The 22,189-nt window shown below is 43.6% G+C and overlaps 1 protein-coding gene and 1 long non-coding RNA gene across 4 annotated transcripts in view, besides 4 other annotated features; one reads left to right on the top strand and one right to left on the bottom strand.

The window, feature by feature from the left end:
• Positions 1–22,189, bottom strand: part of CRTC3 (CREB regulated transcription coactivator 3) — a 115,423-nt gene that overhangs the window by 47,646 nt on the left and 45,588 nt on the right. For both annotated transcript variants that reach the window (NM_022769.5, NM_001042574.3), the window contains exon 3: positions 3,945–4,064. In NM_022769.5, the coding sequence (NP_073606.3) occupies positions 3,945–4,064 (120 nt within the window). The remainder of the gene's footprint in view (positions 1–3,944; positions 4,065–22,189) is intronic.
• Positions 1,671–1,740: an enhancer, noted in NCBI's record as "active region_10080". NCBI's record gives its function as "activates an Ori minimal core promoter by ATAC-STARR-seq in GM12878 lymphoblastoid cells {active_cell/tissue: GM12878}" and the evidence as "EXISTENCE:reporter gene assay evidence [ECO:0000049][PMID:35858748]".
• On the top strand, positions 1,722–4,340 carry LOC124903555 (uncharacterized). 2 transcript variants are annotated; one of them, XR_007064758.1, is made up of 2 exons: positions 1,722–1,809; positions 3,838–4,340. It is a non-coding gene; the product is annotated as an uncharacterized LOC124903555 (long non-coding RNA). The 2 variants fall into 2 exon arrangements; XR_007064757.1 differs by lacking the exon at positions 1,722–1,809 and adding an exon at positions 3,280–3,364.
• Positions 3,136–3,636: an enhancer, noted in NCBI's record as "H3K4me1 hESC enhancer chr15:91137296-91137796 (GRCh37/hg19 assembly coordinates)". NCBI's record gives its function as "activates a minimal SCP1, AML or CMV promoter by ChIP-STARR-seq in naive H9 embryonic stem cells {active_cell/tissue: H9 hESC(naive)}" and the evidence as "EXISTENCE:reporter gene assay evidence [ECO:0000049][PMID:30033119]".
• Positions 13,352–13,863: an enhancer, noted in NCBI's record as "OCT4-NANOG hESC enhancer chr15:91127069-91127580 (GRCh37/hg19 assembly coordinates)". NCBI's record gives its function as "activates a minimal SCP1, AML or CMV promoter by ChIP-STARR-seq in naive H9 embryonic stem cells {active_cell/tissue: H9 hESC(naive)}" and the evidence as "EXISTENCE:reporter gene assay evidence [ECO:0000049][PMID:30033119]".
• Positions 13,864–14,375: an enhancer, noted in NCBI's record as "OCT4-NANOG hESC enhancer chr15:91126557-91127068 (GRCh37/hg19 assembly coordinates)". NCBI's record gives its function as "activates a minimal SCP1, AML or CMV promoter by ChIP-STARR-seq in naive H9 embryonic stem cells {active_cell/tissue: H9 hESC(naive)}" and the evidence as "EXISTENCE:reporter gene assay evidence [ECO:0000049][PMID:30033119]".

Genomic DNA, 22,189 nt, shown 5'->3' with positions numbered 1-22,189 from the left:
TTTTGTGATCACTTAAGTTTTGAAATTCTGGGTTAAAGATAAGAAGTTTATTAACTGCAGGACTTTTCAGAGCCCTGATATATACGGTCAGGCTCCAAGAGGTGATACAGAGTATGGTGTTTCTCAAATGTAATAGGCCATGCATCTCAAAGAAACAGTGTCCTATAAACCAATGTCCTAACATTTTCATCTCATTATGATGAAAAGAATCAAAGCAAGGCCCAGCCCAGAGAGGAGAATCATTCCTAACTCTAGTAGGTCTTAGGCATCTCTTCACGACCCTTCACGCTGGTGAACTCTTGACTTCCTTTCAAGGAAGGCATTTCGTGTTTCCTTCTGAGCGTGTCATCCACAAGGCTGAGAAAATATTTTATTTGCTATAAATTTATGTTAATAGTTCAGAAGTTTAGCAATGGTGTTTGGGACACGGCACGTCTGCCAACCTTGATGAGTGAGAGTAAGAAGGGCTGCTACAGACTGCACATCTGCAGAAGGGCAGAAGAGCTTCTCTTCCAAGTGCCCGAGCCCAGGCCCCCAGCCAGGAGCAAGCCCTGGCAGTGCCTCTCCTCCGCCTGTGTGGGGCTAGGCCAGGGCCCAGCTGCAGCTGTGCCTTGGTCTTGTGTGGCCACCCATGCCAAGGGCAAAGCCCACTCCAGAAGGAATCTCCTGTGGCAGAGCTCTGCGTGCTGTGGCTGCCCACTCTGAGAGGAGGCCAGAGTATTTGTTAAACAATGTTCGTTTTATTTGAGATCACCCTATCATAGGAGTGAACCCTTAAAACCCTTGTCTAAGCCAGTGTGTCTTAAATAACACCCAAGCCAAGAAACAGCTATAATAATTCTGATTTTTTCCTTTTGTTCTAACAAAGATTCAAACTAGTGTTTTATACTTTCAAATGAAGAAACTTCATTTAAAAAGTCATAGACAAATGTTCAAGGCCACAATTTTAAGCAGATTATTTCACAACCAACAGAATGCAGGTCGTGAAAGCAAAGACGGAATCACAGCCCTCCTCCTCCAAGTGGAATAGATTAACACCAAAATAAAATCATCCCATTTCACGGACCCTTGATTCCTCAAAAGAGACTGGGCTAAAGAACTTTCTTTGCATCAACCGATGTCCAGTCCCAGGAACCCAATTTAGGAGCTTAGGAGACCACAGAGACATGGCTCATGATCAGTGAATCTGACTCATACTGTCTAATAACTTTAATTTCTCTGCATATTAACTTGGTTTTTGTTTCTCCTTCCTTTAGGAGTTGACTAGCTTTGCTTATGCTCTCAAGTTGATCCATACAGTGCCAGATTATACCCTATCATAAGAGATAGGGTCCCCTGAACACAAGAAGTCATCTCCCCTTCTGGGTAGGACTTTGCACCACATTCTCTTCCCTCTGCCTGGAACATACCTCCCAACTGCTTTACTCTCTTAAATCTCACTCATTACCATCTAAAACCATTTTCCTTTCTTATTGCCTGTTTGCTGTCATCTCCCACAGGACTGTGAACTCAAGAAAGCAGGAAGTATGCCTCCCTTATTCATCACTGGGTCCCCAGTGCTTAGAACAGTGCCTGGCACAGAGACGGGGCTCTGTAAAGATCTGCTGAATGAACACTTTATCCTCTTACTTCTTATCCTTCAAGCCTCAGATGTTCCCCCAGGATGCCTTCTTCGTTTCCCCAGACTAGTTCAAGCTGCACCTCCGACGTGCTCCCACAGCCCCTGAGCTGCCTCCCTGCAGACGCCATACCTGCCGTGGCTGCTTGTTTGCTGAGTAGCCTCTCCCACTGAACCCTGGGCAACTTGAGGTCAGGGACCATGCTGTTTACTGTTACAGTGAATTAAAATGTCTAAAACGGTGTCTGACCACTAGCACATACTTAACAAATAATTTTTATAAGTGAATAAACATTCTCCTCTTTTTTCTTCAATTCCCTTCTCTATTTTGGTTAGTAAAACTATATGCATGCTTATACATTTAGACCGTACTTCAAAAGTATCTGAGATAGCCACATATACATACACACACGTATATATAGCATAATGTTTAATCTAATATATAGAAATGAGAGCACTGACAGGAAAAAGAGGGAACTGAGAACTGAAAAAATATACATTGGTTTTTTTTTTTTTTTTTTGAGACGGAGTCTCGCTCTGTTGCCCAGGCTGGAGTGCAGTGGCGCGATCTCGGTTCACCGCAAGCTCCACCTCCCGGGTTCACACCATTCTCCTGCCTCAGCCTGGGACTATAGGTGCCCACCACCGAGCCTGGCTAATTTTTTGTAATTTTAGTAGAGACGGGGTTTCACCACGTTAGCCAGGATGGTCTCAATCTCCTGACCTCGTGATCTGCCCACCTCGGCCTCCCAAAGTGCTGGGATTACAGGCGTGAGCCACCATGCCCAGCCAAAAAAAATACATTGTTAAATCAATCAAAGAAACACTCCAAGTCTTTTGCCTGAATATTCTTGGCAATTTGGACAACGGTTTGATGTACCACTCCATCCTGACATGTACAAATTTGCTGATGAATTGCCTCCATTTCCTTTTGCCTTTTTCATTCAATGTCAAAGTTATCACACATTCCAGAATAGATTCTCAAGATCATTTATCATCTTTACTTTCCTTGATAACAGCCACATAATATACAAAATCAGAAGTCAGTCCTTCTGTGGACCAAATGTGGTGTGTTCCTGGGGGCGGGAGAAAGGGGAGAGAAAAACATTCCCTGGGGTCATTATCCTTGCCTCCAAATAGACTAAAAACTGCAAGAAGCTTGAAGGCAAGAAAAGTTGGGGTTTCCCTAGAGTGCCCCCACAACTCCTGGCTCCCTTGTACAAGGTCCTCATCACTGCGAATGGTCGCAGGTGGCATAGGGAGGGGAGAGCACAGGCTGGGCCATCAGCGGGGCCTGGTCTGAATCCTGGGTTACTTCACCACACACTCAGTTTCCTCATCAGAAAATGAGGGTTAAAAAAATTAACGACTCAGTGAGTTTTTGAGGACTAAGTGACACATAAATTACCCAGCACAGCGCCTGGCATGGGTAGGTGCTCAGTAAACATGAGTGCCCTGCCCCCACTTCCTGGTTTCTAGGCTTGTGAAGCCAACTCTACCATCACTGCCAGGAATTCAGCTCTCCGCAGCGAGACCCACCCCGCCTTTCTTCTCCTTCCTCCACCCCTGCGCCCGAGTACTGAGAAGAATGAAGTGAGAGCACGGGCCCTCCTGGCACACTTCTGTGTCCTCTCCCAAAAAATCCAGCTCAGTTCTGTTCCCCAAAGCCTTCGGCACAATGCTGGTCACACAGCTGCACCCACCACTGCCGCCCTGTAAACAGGACTGATTAAATGAAACTGTCAGGTGAATTCACCATTTCCTTTCCTTTATTTCTACTTAACAGCAGAGTTTGGTGTGACTGTACATCACTGCATGAGATTTTCCTATATTCTAGGTTTATTTTAGTTATCACTTACTGAGTTTGAAACATCACAAATAGAAAATAATATGAAATTTTGTCTGTAAGTTCCAAAAGCAGGTCAGCAGATCAAAAGAAGTACAAATAAATCACATATCTCTATGTCCATTTTTGCTAAAGAGACTAAGGCTCTCTAACCTGATTCAAAGTCAGGTTTAACTCTAACGTGGCCAATTTCTGGAGAAAATGCTCAGAACACCCTGCAATGGGACCGAATTACAGGTTGTTTTTGTTGTTATTTCATTAAACTGAACTTTATTGATGCTTTCATAAACACCTACAATGATGTTTCCAAATGTTGACTGCAGAGATGTTTCTAGTTTCCAACTCATTTATTTGTATTGCCTCCTTTCATCAGATAAATGAAGATTCTGAGGCCAAAGGAGAATTGCAGGGAAGATAAATCCTGAAAACTTTTCAAACATTTCAGAATGCACACTCCCTTTGAAGAGTAAAAAAGGATATTTGTCGCCCTGGCTTGTCCCCAGACCTTCGGTGGAGGGGGTGGAAGCGGTTCCTGGATGGCCTCTCCACCAGCCCGTGATGGCGGGTTCCCCGAACATTATCAGCTTGGTGAAATGACGGCTGCAGAGAGAAGGGAAGAAGAGTTGGCCTCCAACCATGAAATTGACACTCACCCTCAAGAACAACTGATAACAACAGGAGATGAAAGGACCGATTTTACAGTTTTACTTATTATACATTAGTGGGCCTTGGGTCAAGGTAAATAAAGTAGTATATGGAACTATTTCTTTATAATAACCATAAAATAATGACAAATAATCTGTAGTGTGTTAAGAGGAAAGCTGAAAGAATAATAAAAGTTGTCATGCAATTGGGGGAGGAGAATCAGAAGACGGTGAACTCATATACTAAATCCCAGAAAACTAGAAAGGACACTTTGAAATGTAAAAGAGGTATATTAAAGAAAGAAACTGGCAAGCCACGAGGCACCTATTTGTTCTGCACAGTGTCTTTTAAAATTTTTGATTGAATTCATAATGTTTGAAAATTCAGACTTGAGGATTCTAGGGAAAAGTCAGAATTTTTTTTGTTTGTTTGTTTTTTGAGATGGAGTCTTGCTCTGTTGCCCAGGCTGGAGTGCAATGGCGTGATCTCAGCTCACTGCAACCTCCGCCTCCCAGGTTCAAGTGATTCTCCTGCCTCAGCCTCCCAAGTAGCTGGGATTACAGATGTGCGCCACCACGCCCAGCTAATTTTTGTATTTTTAGTAGAGACGGGGTTGCACCATGTTGGCCAGGCTGGTCTCAAACTCCTGACCTCAGGTGATCAGCCCACCTCAGCCTCCCAAAGTGCTGGGATTACAGGCATGTGAGCCACCGCACCCACCCATAAATCAAAATATCTTGGCCACAATGAGCCGCACTCATCTCAGGCTCAAGTTGAGCATGGCTGCTCCCTGTAGATGGGACACCCACTCTCTTACTATGAATCCTTACACACAAACCATTTCACTGACTCATCATTTTAGACATTCAGAGTGTGTAACCCCTGAGTTAAAGAGGAAAAAAGGAATGCTATGTAAATACAAGTGGAAAACATACAAATCATCAGTCCCTAAATGATACAAATGAAAGCAGAAACAGATTGTAGATAAATTCATGGTCAATAAATCCAAAATCCTTTTTAAAGAGATGCTTGGGGTACGTTCTTAACATTTTTGAGACTGGTATCACAAAGGGCAACCTTTTTGGTTGTCAAAAGCCAAATCCTAGGCTGGGCCAATAAATCTCACATAATGAGGCAATGTGTATACATTGTGCAATAGATGTGCTTGTGAAATATAGAAAACAGATTTTCTTCTCCCATCCCCTCCAGCATTAAGGTGTTACTGACAAAGAAAAATTGTATATATTTACACTGTACAACATGATGTTTTGATATATGTATACATAGCAAAATGATGAAATCAAGTTATTAACATATCCATCACCTCACATACTATTCATTTAAAACAGAGTTTTACGTCAATTGAGTCACATATAAAATTGGTAGCTTACTGTGAAAGGAATCCTGTGACGCAATGTTTTTATAGGGGACTTCCTTCAGCTAAAAACTAATTTTTCTTTGTTAAACATGGATTTTCTCATTTTGGTTTTGAGAATTACTCCTATTTCTCCCAAGTGGACTCATAAAATCTCTGGGCCAAATTAGTCTAACAGTTCCGATCTATTTTTATAATCCAAATCTATAAACTCACAAAATAAAGTTATCTTACCAAGGAAAAACTTCTGGGCTGGAAGAAAAATAGCCACTATGATATAGGGAAGCTAGATTTATCTCAGACAATGGAATACTCTATTCTAGAGAATAATATATTGAAATACCTGAAAAATAATGGGACAAACTGACATCAGGTGCTTCTTGGCAAGATGCAATGAGGACACAGGATCTCTTTTTTTTGAGACAGGGTCTCACTCTGTTGCCCAGGCTGGAGTGCAGTGGCACAATCTTGGCTCAATGCAACCTCCACTTCCCAGGCTCAGCCTCCTGAGTAGCTGGGACTACAGTGCATGCCAACATGCTGGCTACATTTTTATTTTTTTGTAGAGACAAGGTCTCGCCATTTTGGCCAGACTGGTCTTGAACTCCTGACCTCAAGTTATCTACCCACCTTGGCCTCCCAAAGTGTTGGGATTACATGCCTGAGCCACTGCACAATTACTGCCAAACTGGGCTCCTGAAGGCCAGTCCACAAGGTGGGGAGAAGGGTCTTTAGAAGGCGTTCCCAAAAGCAGAGAGTTCCTGAAATGTCTTTTAGACTTCCTATTAAATTTTCTAGCTGGGTGCAGTGGCTCCTGTCTAGAGTCCCAGCACTTTGGGAGGCGGAGGTGGGAGAATTGCTTGAGGCCAGGAGTTTGAGACCAGCCTGGGAAACATAGTGAGACCCTGTCTCTACAAAAGAAAGAAAAATTAGCTCTACAAACAAACAAATTAGCTAGGCATGGTGGTACATGCCTGCAGTCCCAGCACTTTGGGAGCATGAGGTGGGAGGACCACTTGAGGCCAGGAGTTCAAGACCAGCCTGGGTAACACTGCAAGCCCTCACTTCTACAAAAAAAAATTAAAAAAAAAAAAATAGTGGGGCGTGGTGGTGCCCACCTGTAGTCCTAGCTACTGGGGAGGCTGAGGCAGGAGGATCACTTGAACCCAGGTGTTCGAGGCTGCAGTGAACTATGATCACACCACCGCACTCCAGCCTGAGCAACAGAGCAAGACCTTGTCTCTAAAACAAAAAACAAAACAAAAGCTCTTATTTTCGATTTAACAGCTGCCTCTTTTGCATTAACCCTGCTGCTGGCCCAAATCCTGTATTACTGCTGGTATTCAGTTGTGGGGTGTTAATCTCTGCTTACATTTGATATTTTCTTCTCTTCTTCACTGTGGCCTAATCTCAACTCTCTGCCCCTGCAGTATCTGATCTTACTCCAAACTATATTTGGCTTAACCTTCTCAATTACTTCTCAAAGATCTTCCTCATCAAATGAATTAGAGTGGCTGTTCAGTTAGGGAAGCCAGAAACTGAAGGAGCTAAGTCTGGGCCGGGTGCAGTGGCTCAGACCTGTAATCCCAGCACTTTGGGAGGCCGAGGCAGGTGGATCGTCTGAGGTCAAGAATTTGAGATCTGCCTGGGCAACATGGCAAAACCCTGCCTCTACTAAAAATACAAAAATTAGGCATGGTGGCACTAGAATCACTTGAACTCAGGTGGCAGAGGTTGCAGTGAGCCAAGATCATGCCACTGCACTCCAGCCTGGGTGACAAAGAAATACTACGTGCCACTCAAAAGGCCAAGCACTTCACTTTTTCTACTCCTTTTCAAGTTTTATCCATGTAAGTTCTTACATGGTTATATCTGCAGAGTACATACAGTATTTTCTTTTATTTATTTTATTATTATTTTTTTGAGACGGAGTTTTGCTGTGTCACCCAGGCTGGAGTGAAGTGGTATGATCTTGGCTCACTGCAGCCTCCACTTCCTTGGTTCAAGCAATTCCCCTGCCTCAGCCTCCCCAGTAGCTGGGATTACAGGAACATGCCACCACTCCCGGCTAATTTTTTTGTATTTTTAGTAGAGATGGGGATTCACCATGTTGGCCAGACTGGTCTCGAACTCCTGACCTCAGGCAATCCGCCCGCCTCAGCCTCCCAAAGTACTGGGATTACAGGCATGAGCCACTGCACCCAGCCTATTTACTTAATTTTTTTATTTTTTGAGATGGAGTCTCTCTCTGTTGCCCAGGATGGAGTGTGGTGCAATCTTGGCTCACTGCAACCTCTGCCTCCTGGGTTCAAGCGATTCTCCTGCCTTAGTTTCCTGAGTAGCTGGGATTACAGGCACAAGCCACGACACCCGGCCAATTTTTGTATTTTTAGTAGAGACTGGGTTTCACCATGTTGGCCACACTGGTCTTGAACTCCTGACCTCAAGTGATCCACATGCCTCGGCCTCCCAAAGTACTAGGATTACAGGGGTGAGCAACTGCACCCGGCCAGTATTTTAAACATTGCACGTTGCCATTCAAAGAATATATCATTTGGGCTGGTTGTAGTGGCTCACGCCTATAATCCTAGCATTGCGGGAGGCCAAAGGGGAGGGTCACTTGAGGCCAGGAGTTTGAGTCCAGCCTGGACAACACAGTGTGAGACCCTGTCTCTACAAAAATTTTTGTTAAATTAGCTGGTGTGGTGATGTGCACCTGTAGTGCTAGCTACTCAGGAGGCCGAGGTTGAGGCTCAGGATCCCTTGACCCCAGGAATGTCAGGCTACAGTGAACTATGATTGAGCCACTGTACTCCAGCCTGGGTGACAGAACAAGACCCTGTCTCTTAAAAATAACAACAGGCTGGGCGCCATGGCTCACGCCTGTAATCCCAGCACTTTGGGAGGCCTACGCAGGTGGATCATGAGGTCAGGAGTTCAAGACCAGCCTGGTCAACACGGTGAAACCCCATCTCTACTAAAAATAGAAAAATTAGCTGGGCATGGTGGTGCATGCCTGTAATCCTAGCTACTCAGGAGGCTGAGGCAGGAGAATCGCTTGAACCCGGGAGGCGGAGGTTGCAGTGAGCTGAGATCGCGCCACTGCACTCCAGCCTGGGTGACAGAGTAAGACTCTGTCTCAGAAAAAAAATAAAAATAAAAATAACGACGACGACAACAACAAAACCCCAAAAACACATATGATTCGGAGTCAAAGAAACAGTTCAAGTTCAGATGTTCCACTTATTAACAAGTTACTTCATCTTCCTTATCTAAAAAGTGGAAATGATAATAACTTCCACAGGCTTGTTGAGAAGACAAAATGATGTTACATACATAAGAGCTGCTTGTCCCAGGGATACCCGGACATTGGAAAGGAGGATGAGTGTCTGCATGGTGGAACCCTGGGAAGCATCTTGTCAAAGGTGGGGCTGACCTGCAGAGTCCTTTCGTGGTCAGGAGCAGCAGCATCACTATTAGGGACTGCCCCAGCATTCTGAGCCTCCCACGGTGCTCCCCAACGGTCCTACAGCTCAGGCACCATCTGTTGCCATTCCAAGTCACCTCTGACGTCACCCAGCTGCAGCCTGGGATGAATGGCTAAAAAAAGTTGACTGGCCCATGTGACTTGCTTTGGCCAATGGCTTATGAGCAAATGTGATGTTCATATTGTTCAAACAGAAACTCTCATACTCTTTTCCTTCTGCCATGAGACTATCATGTCTTAAGTAGGGGATGCTCCTTCAGCCTCAGTTGCAGATGGAGAAGATACACAGAGGAGAGACGTAGAAGGTATTCCAGCACCACGGACAAGTAATATGAGTGAAAAATAAATGTTTGTTGAGAGTCTGAGTTTTTGGATTGTTACTAAAGCAAAGCTGGCTAATATGGTAGTGATGACAGAGAGAGACTGAATGAAATAGAGAGTCCCATTTTTCTTACTTTTTTTTTTTTTTGAGACAGAGTCGCACTCTGTCACCCAGGCTGCAGTGCAGTGGCGTGATCTCAGCTCACTGTAACCTCTGCCTCCCAAGTTCGAGCAATTCTCCTGCCTCAGCCTCTTGAGTAGCTAGGATTACAGGCATGTGCTACCATGCCTGGCTAATTTTTTAATTTTTTTATTTTTATGTTTAGTAGAGATGGTTTTGCCATGTTGCCCAGGCTGATCTCGATCTCCTGGCCTCAAGTGATCCACCCCCCTCGGCCTCCCAAAGTGCTGGGATCACAGGCATGAGCCATTGTGCCTGGCCCCATTTTCTTGAAGAACAAGGGAGGTGTAAGTCAAAAGAATCTGCAAATGGGAGCCAGGCATAGTGGCTCAGGCCTGTAATCCCAGCACTTTGGGAGGCTGATGTGGGTGGATCATTTGAGCTCACAAGTTTGAGACCAGCCTTGGCAATATGGCAAAACCCCATCTTTACAAAAAATACAAAAATTTGTCAGGTGTGGTGGTTCACGCTTGTAGTCCCAGCTACTTGGGAGGCTGAGGCAGGAGGATCACTTGAGCCTGGGAGGCAGAGGTTGCAGTGAACTGAGATCCTGCCACTACACTCCAGACTGGGTGACAGAGGGGAGACCTTGTCTCTAGTAAATAAATACAGAAAGCAAGCAAGAAAGAAACGAACCTGTAAATAGGACTCTATGTGTTTTAAGGAGGGCCTTAGGCTCAGGATCTGAAAAGCACTCTACTGTTTCAGAACATGGGACCTAGACATCAAATGAGGAAGAGAAGGCTTCTGTGCCTCCATACAGAAATGGTTCTCCACATCAGTGTCTGGGATCCAGTGCTAGATAGACCGGGGAGGGGAGTGACATGGCTAATGCTAACGGCAGAACTCTTTCTGTAATGAAACAGGACGTGTGAATCTTCCAAAAGAAGCAGAGTTGTGGATTTCCAGGTAGAAGTTTAGAGCTAACGGCAGACAGTACCATACTCCCGGAGTACTTCCCCAAGGGACCTAGAGCTCAGTTAGATGAGATATCAGTTACGTGTAGGTGCACACCTACCTATCACATAGCATCTGAAAGCTGCAGCCTGGGATGAATGGCTGAAAAGTTGCAACTAGATTTCGTCACCTAGGGGGGAAATTACTTCCTCTAATTTAGACACTATTGATCTATCAATGTGACCTACATTTGCATTAACTGTTTGGGTAGATGTACTGTACTGTTGGCATATCATTATGTTTGTGGTTAATTAGAAACCCCAGATCTTACTTGACTGGTAAACCATAAGCAGATTCCTACATAAGCCCACGCTAAGTTAGGAAATGAGCTGAAGTCCAAGAATTGGAGAGTTGTTGTTTATTATCAACTAGGAAGATTATCATTATCAAAAGCATATATGGTACAGTATATTCTTTATGTGTGAACAATCAAGACATACATTTTTCTTCTGCAGCTAAGTAGCAAAATAAATCCTAGCTTATAGTTGTATTTTTATACAGTTATTAAAAACAGGAGAAATGTAATTTCCAAATACCTTGAAGTGAAATATGGGTTTCTAAATGCTAATGGTATGACCAAATACATCCTTCCATGTAAGAAGTTCTACAGGGCCAGGCACGGTGGCTCACACCTATAATCCCAGCACTTTGGGAGGCCAAGGTGGGTGATCATGAGGTCAGGAGTTCAAGACCAGCCATGGCCAACAGAAACCCCGTCTCTACTAAAAACACAAAAATTAGCTGGGCATGGTAGTGAGAGTCCGTAGTCCCAGCTACCGGGAGGCTAAGGCAGAAGAATTGCTCGAACCCAGGGGGCAGAGGTTGCAGTGAGCTGAGATTGTGCCACTGCATTCCAGCCTGGACGACAAAGCGAGACTCCATCTCAAAAAAAAAAAAAAAAAAAAAAGAAGTTCTACCAAGTTTTAAAAAATATATTAAAAACATGCAGAAAACCAGGATTAAGCATATAAATGGTTAATACTTTGAAAAAGTATTGATCCAGAATACCACAACCTCAGCATCTGTACAAAGGGGTGCCTAATCGATATTCTCAAACAGAAGCAATTCTACATAAGACAACTCTTAGTAGCTTCAATGACAGACCTCATGATGACTCGTGATCAAGAAAAAAAGTGATAAAACTCCTGCAAGAGCAACACATATTTTCCTGGAATACCATCGTCAACACTGGGAATGGGTACTTGCATGAAGCTTCAATATTACAGAGGACTGCACCGGAATGTGATGTCACCATTATTTTATGCTATGAGGACAATGTGCTAGCTTGAGCCAGGGGTCATTTATGTGGCAATTTCAACCATCTCAGTGGTGAGCCAGAAAGCAAAGAAAGCCCCTAAATAACAAAAATGGATAAGAACCCCAGAGGACAGCAGTTAGAAAGGAACCCCTCCAGTTCTGCATCACACCCCACCCAGGTCTAACAAACTGAGGCATCTCATTTTCCAGCTTGCAGTAGGTGAAAATAAGGTGGGGATAGGCAAAGGAAGGGAACTGGAGTTGCTGGCTTAGCAGAGAAAGCAACACAAGTAAAAGCAAGAGGGAGTGGAATTCTGCTCTTTCCTTCTACAGATGGGAAACCAAGGTACAGAGAGCTGAAGTGATTTTTCTCAAGATTGCAGAGCTAGTTTGTAGCAGCCTAAAAACTAAAACTCAGGATCCCGAGCCTCATTCAGTATTCTCTTTACCTCACCGCTTTGCCTCCTTTGCTATATAGCCTACATAAAATCAATTCTTTTTGAGATTTTACACAGATTTGTACTGATATATACAGAAGTTAAAAAAAAAAATATTAAGGAATTTTCCAGACTGGGCACCATGGCTCATGCCTGTAATCCCAGTACTTTGGGAGCTCATGGTGGGAGGACTGCTTGAGCCCAGGAGTTCGAGACCAGCCTGGGCAGCATAGCCAGACCTTGTCTCTGCTAAGAATTTAAAAACTAGCTAGCCACAGTGGCACACACCTGTAGTCCCAGCTACTTGGGAGGCTGAGGTGGGAAGATCCCTTGAGCACAGGAGGTGGAGGCTGCAGTGAGCTATGATCATACCACCGCACTCCAGCCTGGGGCACAGAGCGAGACCTTGTTGTTTCAAAAAAGAAAAATGAAAAAGAAATTCTCCAGATAAATTGTATTACATTCTTCTAAATCCACTGAAGATTTAAGATTCAATTACAGGTTAACAGTCTTGCTAAGACACCTGACTATGATGCAATACAAACGGCACACCTACAAATTGACGTTGGCTCCAGTAGTCTCATTTGGAGTAAGTATCTAACTTAATATTTATGTAAACGGTTAGCTAAAAGTCACAAAGCTATTCATTGACGATAATGCTTCCTCTGATAGAATTAAAATGCTACCCCAACCCTTCTTAATTCCTCTGTATACTTGGGTTTGTATCTGTTTCCAACAGAGCTTGGGTAGGAGAGGAGACTGGTTGGAAACGTAGCTGGTAGTAGAGACACTAGATAGGGTAGTGTCTATCTACCCTATCTGCCGTTAATGCTTGGCTCTAACGGCATCCTTAAACTCATCACTTAGCTCTACTGGGCCTCCAGCTTGCCCATGATGCTGCTTGGTTCTTCTTTAGTTTACTTCTTTAGTTCTTGACAAATGTGCGACAGATTGGCCACCAGTACTAAATAAATTTCTGTTGGTGTCCACCCTGGACGACATAATGAGACCACAACTCTTTTTTAAAAATTCTGCTGGGGGCCGGGCACGGTGGCTCATGCCTATAATCCCAGTACTTTGGGAGGCTGAGGCGGGAGGATCACCTGAGGTCAGGAGTTCGAGACCAGCCTGACCAACATGGTGAAACCCCATGTCTACTAAAAATACAAGATTAGCCAAGCATGGTGGTACATGCCTGTAATCCCAGCTACTGGGGAGGCTGAGGCAGGAGAATTGTTTGAATCCAGGAGGTGGAGGGTGTAGGGAGCTGAGATCGTGCCACTGCACTCCAGCCTGGGCAACAGGAAAGAAACTCCATCTCAAAAAAAAAAAAAAAAAGCGTTGGTGAAGAGTGGAAATTTATCAAGTTTAGGAAGTAAGGCAGGTTCCTGAAGCTTGCAGGGCTCTTTATTTATATGCAGACTGAAGCTAATGGAAGATGTTATAGCCCCCCTCTTTTAAAAAGGACAAGTCTAAATAACAAAGGAACAACTGTGCCTCTCTTGGGAACCCAGCTGGAGATCATTCTAGGCACTGCCAGCACCTCCTTTGATTCTCATGACAAGTGGGGGAGTCGTGAAGGCCTGTCCACAACAAAGGGGCTGCTATTAATTCACACTGCCTTGGGGTTAAATGGATCATTTAAGTCTACCTTACAAACTAAGCGGAATAAAAAAGGATGTCATACTTGGTTAAATACCCTATTATAACATCATTCAAAAAAAAAAGAAAAGAGAAACTTCAAGAGAAGTTCAAAATGTATAACAAATCTCCAGCGTCAGACCTGCCAGCACCCAGCCAGCCTCTCTGACAGCAGCCCCCAACACTCTTCCTTTGCCCTCTGCAGTGCTTAGGTATGCCAGCAGGCAGGGGCTTCAGTTCACAAAACTCCTGTGAGGCTCCCAGCTGTTCTGGGTTTTGGAAGGCTTTTCCCCCAGCAGCCTGCCAGCACTACACTATCTTTGGGGCTAGTCTATTCCAGTCTCGCAGAAGTGATTAGACTTTCAGAGCCCTTGAACCACCTAGATGGGTTTTTTGTTTGTTTTTAACCTGGAGGCTATGCCTTTTTTGACCAGCTGATCTGGGGATCCAATCTTCTCCAAAGGACCAAATAAGTCTTGCTGTGAGGCATGAAAAGAAGAGATGAAGAGCAGAACAGACCAGAGAAGGCACCAGCACCCAACCTGCTGATTTAGGACCTGGCCTATCACCATGTCTGTGGCCCTTGTGTTGCCCCTTCCTAGTCTGTATTTTTAAATGAAAGATAAAAGGGAAGTAAAGTTAACAGATAAACTAAGTTAAAAGGTGACTCCAGAAAATGATAGAGATAAAACAGTTTTGGGGTTGTTTTGTTTTTAGCAGGTAAAGTCAAAATCAGACCAATCAAAATGATCACAGAGGGCCAGGCAAAATAATTTCTCAAAATAAGAAATAATGGCTGGGTGTGGTGGTGGCTCACACGTGTAATCCCAGCACTTTGGGAGGCCGAGGTGGGAGGATCGCTTGAGCTCAAGAATAGGAGGCCAGCCTGGGCAACATAATGAGACCCCATCTCTAAAAAAAAAGAAGAAGAAATAACGACAATGCATAAAACACGCCCAGAGTTCATGCTGGGGGATCCTGCTCAAGAAAAGGCAGAGAATAAGGTCTATGTCTCAGGCAGAGCTTCTCACCTGGAGAAGATGGATCATGTTCATTCCCTGACCCTGATGGAGCAGGCTGTAAGCAGTGAGACCTCCCCCAGCATCTTCCCTCCAGCATTTGCACAGCGTCAGCCACACAGTGGGCTCCAACACGTGTTTGCTGAATTACATAATGTTTCTAAATGATTTGGCTCCAAAGAGGAATGTGTACCCCCAGGGGATTTACAGGATGGCATAGGGTATGGGGAAAACATTAGAAGTTCTGTTTCCACTTAGCTTTCTATTTTTTTGTATACTTAATATTAACAATACAGTGTTATATGTACATAATTTAAAAAACAAAGAACATACCCAAATTGGGGATATAAAACTCTTTTTACTACTAGGCTGCATAATCAAAAAGTTTAAATGCAAAGTGTTGATCGTTATTAAAAACTGGTGAGGGCTATATGGGAGCTTCTTATTCTACTCCTACTTTTCTGTACAGCTACAAATTTCCACGATAAAATGAAGAATTTCAGCTTCAAGTTCTCAGGGATGGCATAGCAGGGTGAATGCAGACCCAAGCCTCTAAAGGCACTTTACTGTCTTTCCACAGAGCGCCACCCAAGCCTCCACAGAAGTAGAAGTTTTAAACTGCCTGTTCCCATCCCCACCTCCCCACCTGGTGTGATATCTTTGGGTGGTGAGGGAGGCCTTCCGTTGAGTGTAGTTCTCCTTTTAACTTTAATGCTAATAAGACAATGACTAGAGAAATATGTTCTGGGTAAATCAGGTTTGCCCATTTATCTCCTCCAGAGGAAGCTGATTTGCTTCTTATGGTGATAGAAAGGAACTGCAGAAGGGAAGAACTGGCTTTTGATCAACTAAGACTTGAGCAGTGGCAGGAGTCCGGCCTAGTGGCTGGTAAGGCAACTGGCCAAAGGCACCCTTGGAGGCCACAAGGGTCAGGTAGGCACTTCAGGCCAAGCAGGAAAGGAGACAAAGTGCCTGAGCCTCTGTTCATCCCACACCAACCTCTTCCTGCCGTAGGAAATATATGTAAAAGACAGGCACCTGTCAGCCTGCCGACTCCCTCCTTTCACCCCCACTGCATTCTGAATCACACCAGATCCACCGCTGTGATTCAACTTGGTAGGACACTTCACTGAGTTTAGAAGAGATTGTAATTTGGAATTAAAAGAGAAAAAACAAAGGGGAGGGGACAGATGAAACAAGAGTGGCAAAATGTTGAAAAATATTGAATCTGGTGATGAGTCTATGGGGGTTCTTTATTCTACTTTGGGGAAGATTTTACATTTCCAAATAACAAGTTTGATTTTTTAATTAAAGTTATGATACTGTCATAAATTAAAGGTGCCTTTTCAGTTTTAACTCAATAACTTCTACATATATGCCAAAAAAAGAGATGAAGGCTGTGTTTTCTACCATACAGCCAGCCAACAAAACAACTTTTTTTCACACTGTTGATAACTTTAAAGGACAAAATAAGCATACGATGTCACAAAGGAACTAGGAAAGTATAAGAGAAAACATGTCTGGAAAGAATAAAATGCTCTGGAATATTTAGTTAGATAAAGCACATGGTAATTCTAAATAAAGCATATTGAATTTTTAAAAAAACTTACATCCTGTTTTTTATTTAAAAGAGCATAGGGTACTTTTCCTCATCTGGCCACTAGCTCATGAAAAGACACACACAGTGTCCTTGTCCTGTTCTGTCTGGACTCATAAGCCACAGAGTTTGGAATGATCTTCCGGGCCAGCCAATGCAACCAGACAGCATCCTCACCAAAGGCCATCTAGCCGCCACCAGACCCCTCTGAAGATGGGAACGGAGTACTTTCCCAGGCAGGCCACTCCTTTCTCATCCAGCCATGCTTCTGATATGTTCTCCCTTAGGCTGAGCTGTAAAGTGTTCCTAAGCATTCACTATCTCTTGGGAGAATCTGCCCAGATGAGAGGTTGCTAAAAATTCATCATGGTTTAAACAGCAGAAAAATACAAAAATAAATTTTTTTTTTTAATTCATCATGGTAAGAACTTTAGTCTCCATAACGAACCAAGCTACCAAAAATGGAAGAACTGGTCCCTGAAACCAGATTCTCCATTTAATCTCAGTTAAAGCCATAACTGGATCTGGGCGCTTGTTTGGAGACTGAGTTGGTCTGGCATTCCTTTTGTCAAACAAACAGAAAAACCAGTGGGCCGGGTGCAGTGGCTCACGCCTATAATCACAGCACTTTGGGAGGCTGAGACGGGTGGATCACCTGGGGTCAGGAGTTTGAGACCAGCCTGGCCAGATGACGAACCCCATCTCTACTAAAAATATAAAAATTAGCTGGGTGTGGTCATGCACGTGCCTGTAATCCCAACTACTCTGGAATCTAAGGCAGGAGAATCGCTTGAACCCAGGAGGCAGAGGTGCAGTGAGCCAAGATCACGCCACTGCACTCCAGTCTGGGTGACAGAGCGAGCAAGACTCGTCTCAGGAAAAAAAAAAAAAAGAAGAAGAAGAAAAACCAGCGGGACTGACACTAAGGAAGCCTATTCTTCCTATCTGCAAGTCCCCACTTTTGCCTACAGACAGGGGAGGGAAAACTAACCACTCTGTGAGCCTTAGGAGTTACTGAGGAGTAAAGGTCATAATGCTATCCTCTCCTGGCTCCCGGCTTCAGTGCTGAACCTTTGAGAACCCAGACAAGGGAACAGTGATTAACCAGCTTCCTCAGTCTCCAGAAGAATAACATATATAGTTCATTTGAGGATTTATGGGAACTCAGATTAGGCATAGTCCTAACTAAACTGGAGAGTCTCCTTACCTGGTACCCTAAAAAATAAATAAGGAGAAATATTTATTAGTGAATGTGATTATTTTTGTGGGATTTCAAAGTTTTGAAATATTTCCTCTTTTTGTATTTCTTCTGATGTTCCTGAGTGGGGATGTGCAATCAGCATGTAATATAAAACTAGAGATTAAAAGTAAAATACGTGTCTGGGCAGGTGGCTCATGCCTGTAATCCCAGCACTTTGGGAGGCCGAGGCGGGTGGATCACCTGAGGTCAGGAGTTCAAGACCAGCCTGGCAAACATGGTAAAACCCTGTCTCTACTGAAAATACAAAAATTAGCTGGGCATGGTGGCGGGTGCCTGTGCTCCCAGCTACTGGGGAGGCTGATGTAGGAGAATTGCTTAAACCCAGGAGGCAGAGGTTGCAGTGAGCCAAGATTGTGCCATTGCACTCCAGCCTGGGTAACAGAACAAGGCTCTGTCTCAAAAAAAAAAAAAAAAAAAAAAAAAGTGAAATACGTTTACTCCATGTAATCATTCAGACACATGCTCTAAAATCACAATGAAATTTACAGAGAAATGCTAAAGAATTTTTTCCCAGGGGAAGGGGACAGCCAGTGTGAGGCTTTTGCCTATGACACAATAATTACTACCCCATTTCCTCTTTCCTTCCCTATAAACCAGCCTTAGAGCCCACTCGGTCAAGCTATAGTGGATAGGGCCAGGATGTTCCAGGCCATGGTCCTCTTCCTTGACCCAAGAACCAGGACTGTCCACTTCCCCAAGGCTGTCGGTCCCCAGTGGGGAAGAGTGGAGCACAGCTGTCCCTCAGTACGCAGGGGGATTGGTTCCAGGGCCCCCTACAGACACCAAAATCTATGCATACTCAAATCCCTGATATAAAAGGGCACAGTACTTGTATGTAACCTACAAACATCCTTCCATATACTATAAATCACCTCCAAATTATTTATAATACCTAATACAAAGCAAATACTATGTAAATAGTTGTCATACTGTATTGTTTAGGGGATAATGACAAAGAAAAAACATGTTTAGTAAGGATGCAATTTTTTTTCTAATATTTTTGATCTGTAATTGGTTGAATCTACATATGCAAAACCAACCCTCAGATAATGAGATAATGGAGGACCAACTGTACAGGCAAAGATCCACACCTCACAGGCACACAGCAAGATTTAGCTTCTTAGACACAGAACAGACAGATTACAGATGCTTAGAATCATTAGTAAATAAGAAAATTCAGGCCCTGTTGTAATCATTACTTTTAAAGATAACTAAACAGTTTACATCACGTTATTTAAATAAGTAATATATTGGCATTCTCAACAAATACCCTATATAACAGTGGAGAGTGACAAGGCATCCTCAATTCTCGCTCCCCTTCGACCCAGTTCCCACCTCACAATCGATACCAGATTTTTTGCTTCTTGTGAGTCCTTTGAAATACTGATTATGCATGTACAGCAAATAAGAATACATATTACTGCTGCTCTTTATTAAACATATGTGTATAATATAACTCTATACATGCATTTATAATTTACCATCTTTACCTTCTTTTTTTTTTGAGATGGAGTCTCGCTCTGTTGCCCAGCCTGAAGTGCAATGTTGCGATCTCAGCTTACTATACCCTCTGTCTCCCGGGTTCGAGCAATTCTCCTGTCTCAGCCTCCCGAGTAGTTAGTAGCTGGGATTACAGGTGTATGCCACCACGCCTCGCTAATTTTTGTATTTTTAGTAGAGACGGGGTTTTGCTATGTTGGCCAGGCTGGTCTCGAACTCCTAACCTCAGATGATCTGCCCACCTCAGCCTTCCAAAGTGCTGGGATTACAGGGCTGAGCCACTGTGCCCAGCCCATCTTTACCATTTTTAAATGTACAGTTCAGTGGTAATAAATACATTTGGCCAGGTGCGGTGGCTCATGCCTGTAATCCCAGCACTTTGGGAGGCCGAGGCAGGTGGATCACCTGAGGTCAGGAGTTCCAGACCAGCTTGACCAGCATGGTGAAACCTCATCTCTACTAAAAATACAAAAAATTAGCTGGACCTGGTGGCGCACGCCTGTAATCCAAGCTACTAGCTACTCGGGAGGCTGAGACAGGAGAACTGCTGAATCCGGGAGATGGAGGTTGCAGTGAGCCCAGATCGTGCCACTGCACTCCAGTCTGGGCAGCAGAGCGAGACTCCATCTCAAAAATTTAAAAATAAATAAATAAATATCCCTTTTCTTCCTTCATCCCCCTCTCCCTTTCCTGGCCTCTGGTAGCCACCAATCTAACTGTGTGTCATTGTGGTATCTACTTTTTTAGCTCCGACATATGAGTGAGAACATGCGATATTTGTCTTTCTCTTATTTCACTTAACATAAATGGCCTCCAGTTCCATCAGTGTTGCTGTAAATGATAGGATTTCACTCTTTTTTATGGCTGGATGATATTCCATTGTGTATACATAACCTGTTTTCTTTATCCATTCATCTGTTGATGGACAGTTAGGTTGATTCCATATTGTAAATAGTGCTGCAATAAACATGGGAGTGCAGATATCTCCTCCCTTTTTACACAAATGGTAACTTACTGATACACTGTCTGTACCTTACTTTTTAAACTTAATCTTCAACTAAATTTCTAAACCTGAATCCAATTTCTTAGAGGCTCCTTCTCAAAATAGCCAAGCAAAAATATTAGACAGCTCAACAAAATTAAAAGTCAAAACTGTCAGGGAACATATACCAACACTATAATTGACTTACTCTCTGCCAGACTGATTTGGCCAACTTCTCCAACCCCTTATATCCTTCTCAGTATTACTTGGTCCTCAAAGAACAGGATCACAGACTGCTTCCTCCTCTCCTCTATTAGCTCTTTCCATCTGCATTTAAATGTGGGCCAAAGGCTGGGCCTGGTGGCTCCTGCCTGTAATCCCAGCACTTATAATGGTAATGGGGAGATTGAAAGTGGCAAGATTAACTGCCGCTGGGATGTGCCACAGCTGGGAAGAGGAGAGCCAGTGTGAGCCACTGCATGGCAGCCTGAGCAAGAGGGCAATATTCTATCTCAAAAAAACAAAACAAAACAAAACAAAACAAAAAACAAACAAATGGCCCAGCCTCTCCCACGTAAAGCTGGGGAAGGAGGAGACACAAAAGTCGCTAACTTGCTGCATCATCCTATTCCTCCTCCTTGCCCCGGTGTCCCGGTGTCTCTCCTCTTCACAGCCAAGCTTTGTGATGAAGGAGTTGCCTCAACTCCACTTCCTCAACTCCCACAGACCTCAGCCCCCATCCCTCTGCTCCACCGAAATTTCCCAAGATAACCACAGACTTTGCACGCTACTAAATCCAAATGGGCATTTTCAGCTCCTGACCTCTTGGAACACTGGAAATTACTGACAGTTTGCTCTATTGAAAACATTCTTCTCCTGGCTCCTGGGGCTCCATGCCGTCCCATTTTTCTCCTACCTCTCTGAGTGTTTCTTTCCAGTCTTCTTCGCACACTCCTGAACTTCCTGACCATCCTTTAGTGCTGGGGTTCCTCAGGGCTCTGTCATATCACTCCATCTCTCTAGCCCAGATGTCTCTCCAGAGCTTCAGACTTATACATTCAACAGCCCACTGGACCACACTCTTCTAGGACTACCTGCAGGCACCTCAAACTCAATATATTTAGAAGTGAATTTGCCATCTTCCTCCTAAACCAGCCCCTATCTCGTGTGTTTCAAATCGCTGGGAATGGCGCCACTCGACGGCCTAACCCAGAAAGTTTGGGGTCATCCTTGAGTGCTTCCTCCTCATCCCTGCACATCTCAGTCATCACCAAGTCTGGTCATTTTGACCATCTATTTATTTTTATTTATTGTATTGTATTATTTATTTATATTTTAGAGATGGAGTCTCATTGTGTTGCCTAGGCTGGCCTCAATTTCCTGGGCTCAAGTGGTCCTCCCACCTCAGCCTCCTGAGTAGCTGGGACTACAGATGCAGGCCAGTGCACCTGGCCATTTTGACTTTCTAAACACCTCTTGAACCCAATACTATCCTCAACTCCTCATCTATCCATTCTCCCCTGGATTACTGCAACAATCTTGTCATTGGTCTTTTTGTCTCTAATCTTGTTTCCTCCAACCTAGTTCTACCCTGCAGTCAGAATAATCTTCCTAAAACACAAATCTGATCATATCCTTAGCTGCATAAAACCCAATAATAAAAGCATTTTTTAAAAAGACCTCAACAAGCCGATTTTAAAGTTCATTTGGTTGGCAGTAACACTGGTGTAAAGAGAATAAATAAATAAATAAAGTTCATCTGGAAAAATAAACATGCAAGAATAGCCTAGAAAAATCACCGAAAAGCAGCATGAAAGTGAATTAATCTTACCAGGTTTCTAAAATATAATATGAAGCTATAATCATTAATTAAAATAGTGTGATTCTGGTGTATGAATAGACACGCAGATTAATAAAAGAGAATAGGAAGTCTCAAAATCCAATCAAACTATGAGAATTTAGTTTATGATGGAAGTAGCATTTAAACTATCGGAGAAAAGATGATTATTCATAAATAGTGTTGAGACAACTAGCTAGCAAAGTGGAAAAAAAATAAGCCAGATTC

The sequence above is a fragment of the Homo sapiens genome, chromosome 15 (assembly GCF_000001405.40).
Source record: "Homo sapiens chromosome 15, GRCh38.p14 Primary Assembly".
In the NCBI taxonomy this organism is placed as follows: domain Eukaryota; kingdom Metazoa; phylum Chordata; class Mammalia; order Primates; family Hominidae; genus Homo; species Homo sapiens.
This window is presented reverse-complemented; position numbering and strand designations above follow the sequence as displayed.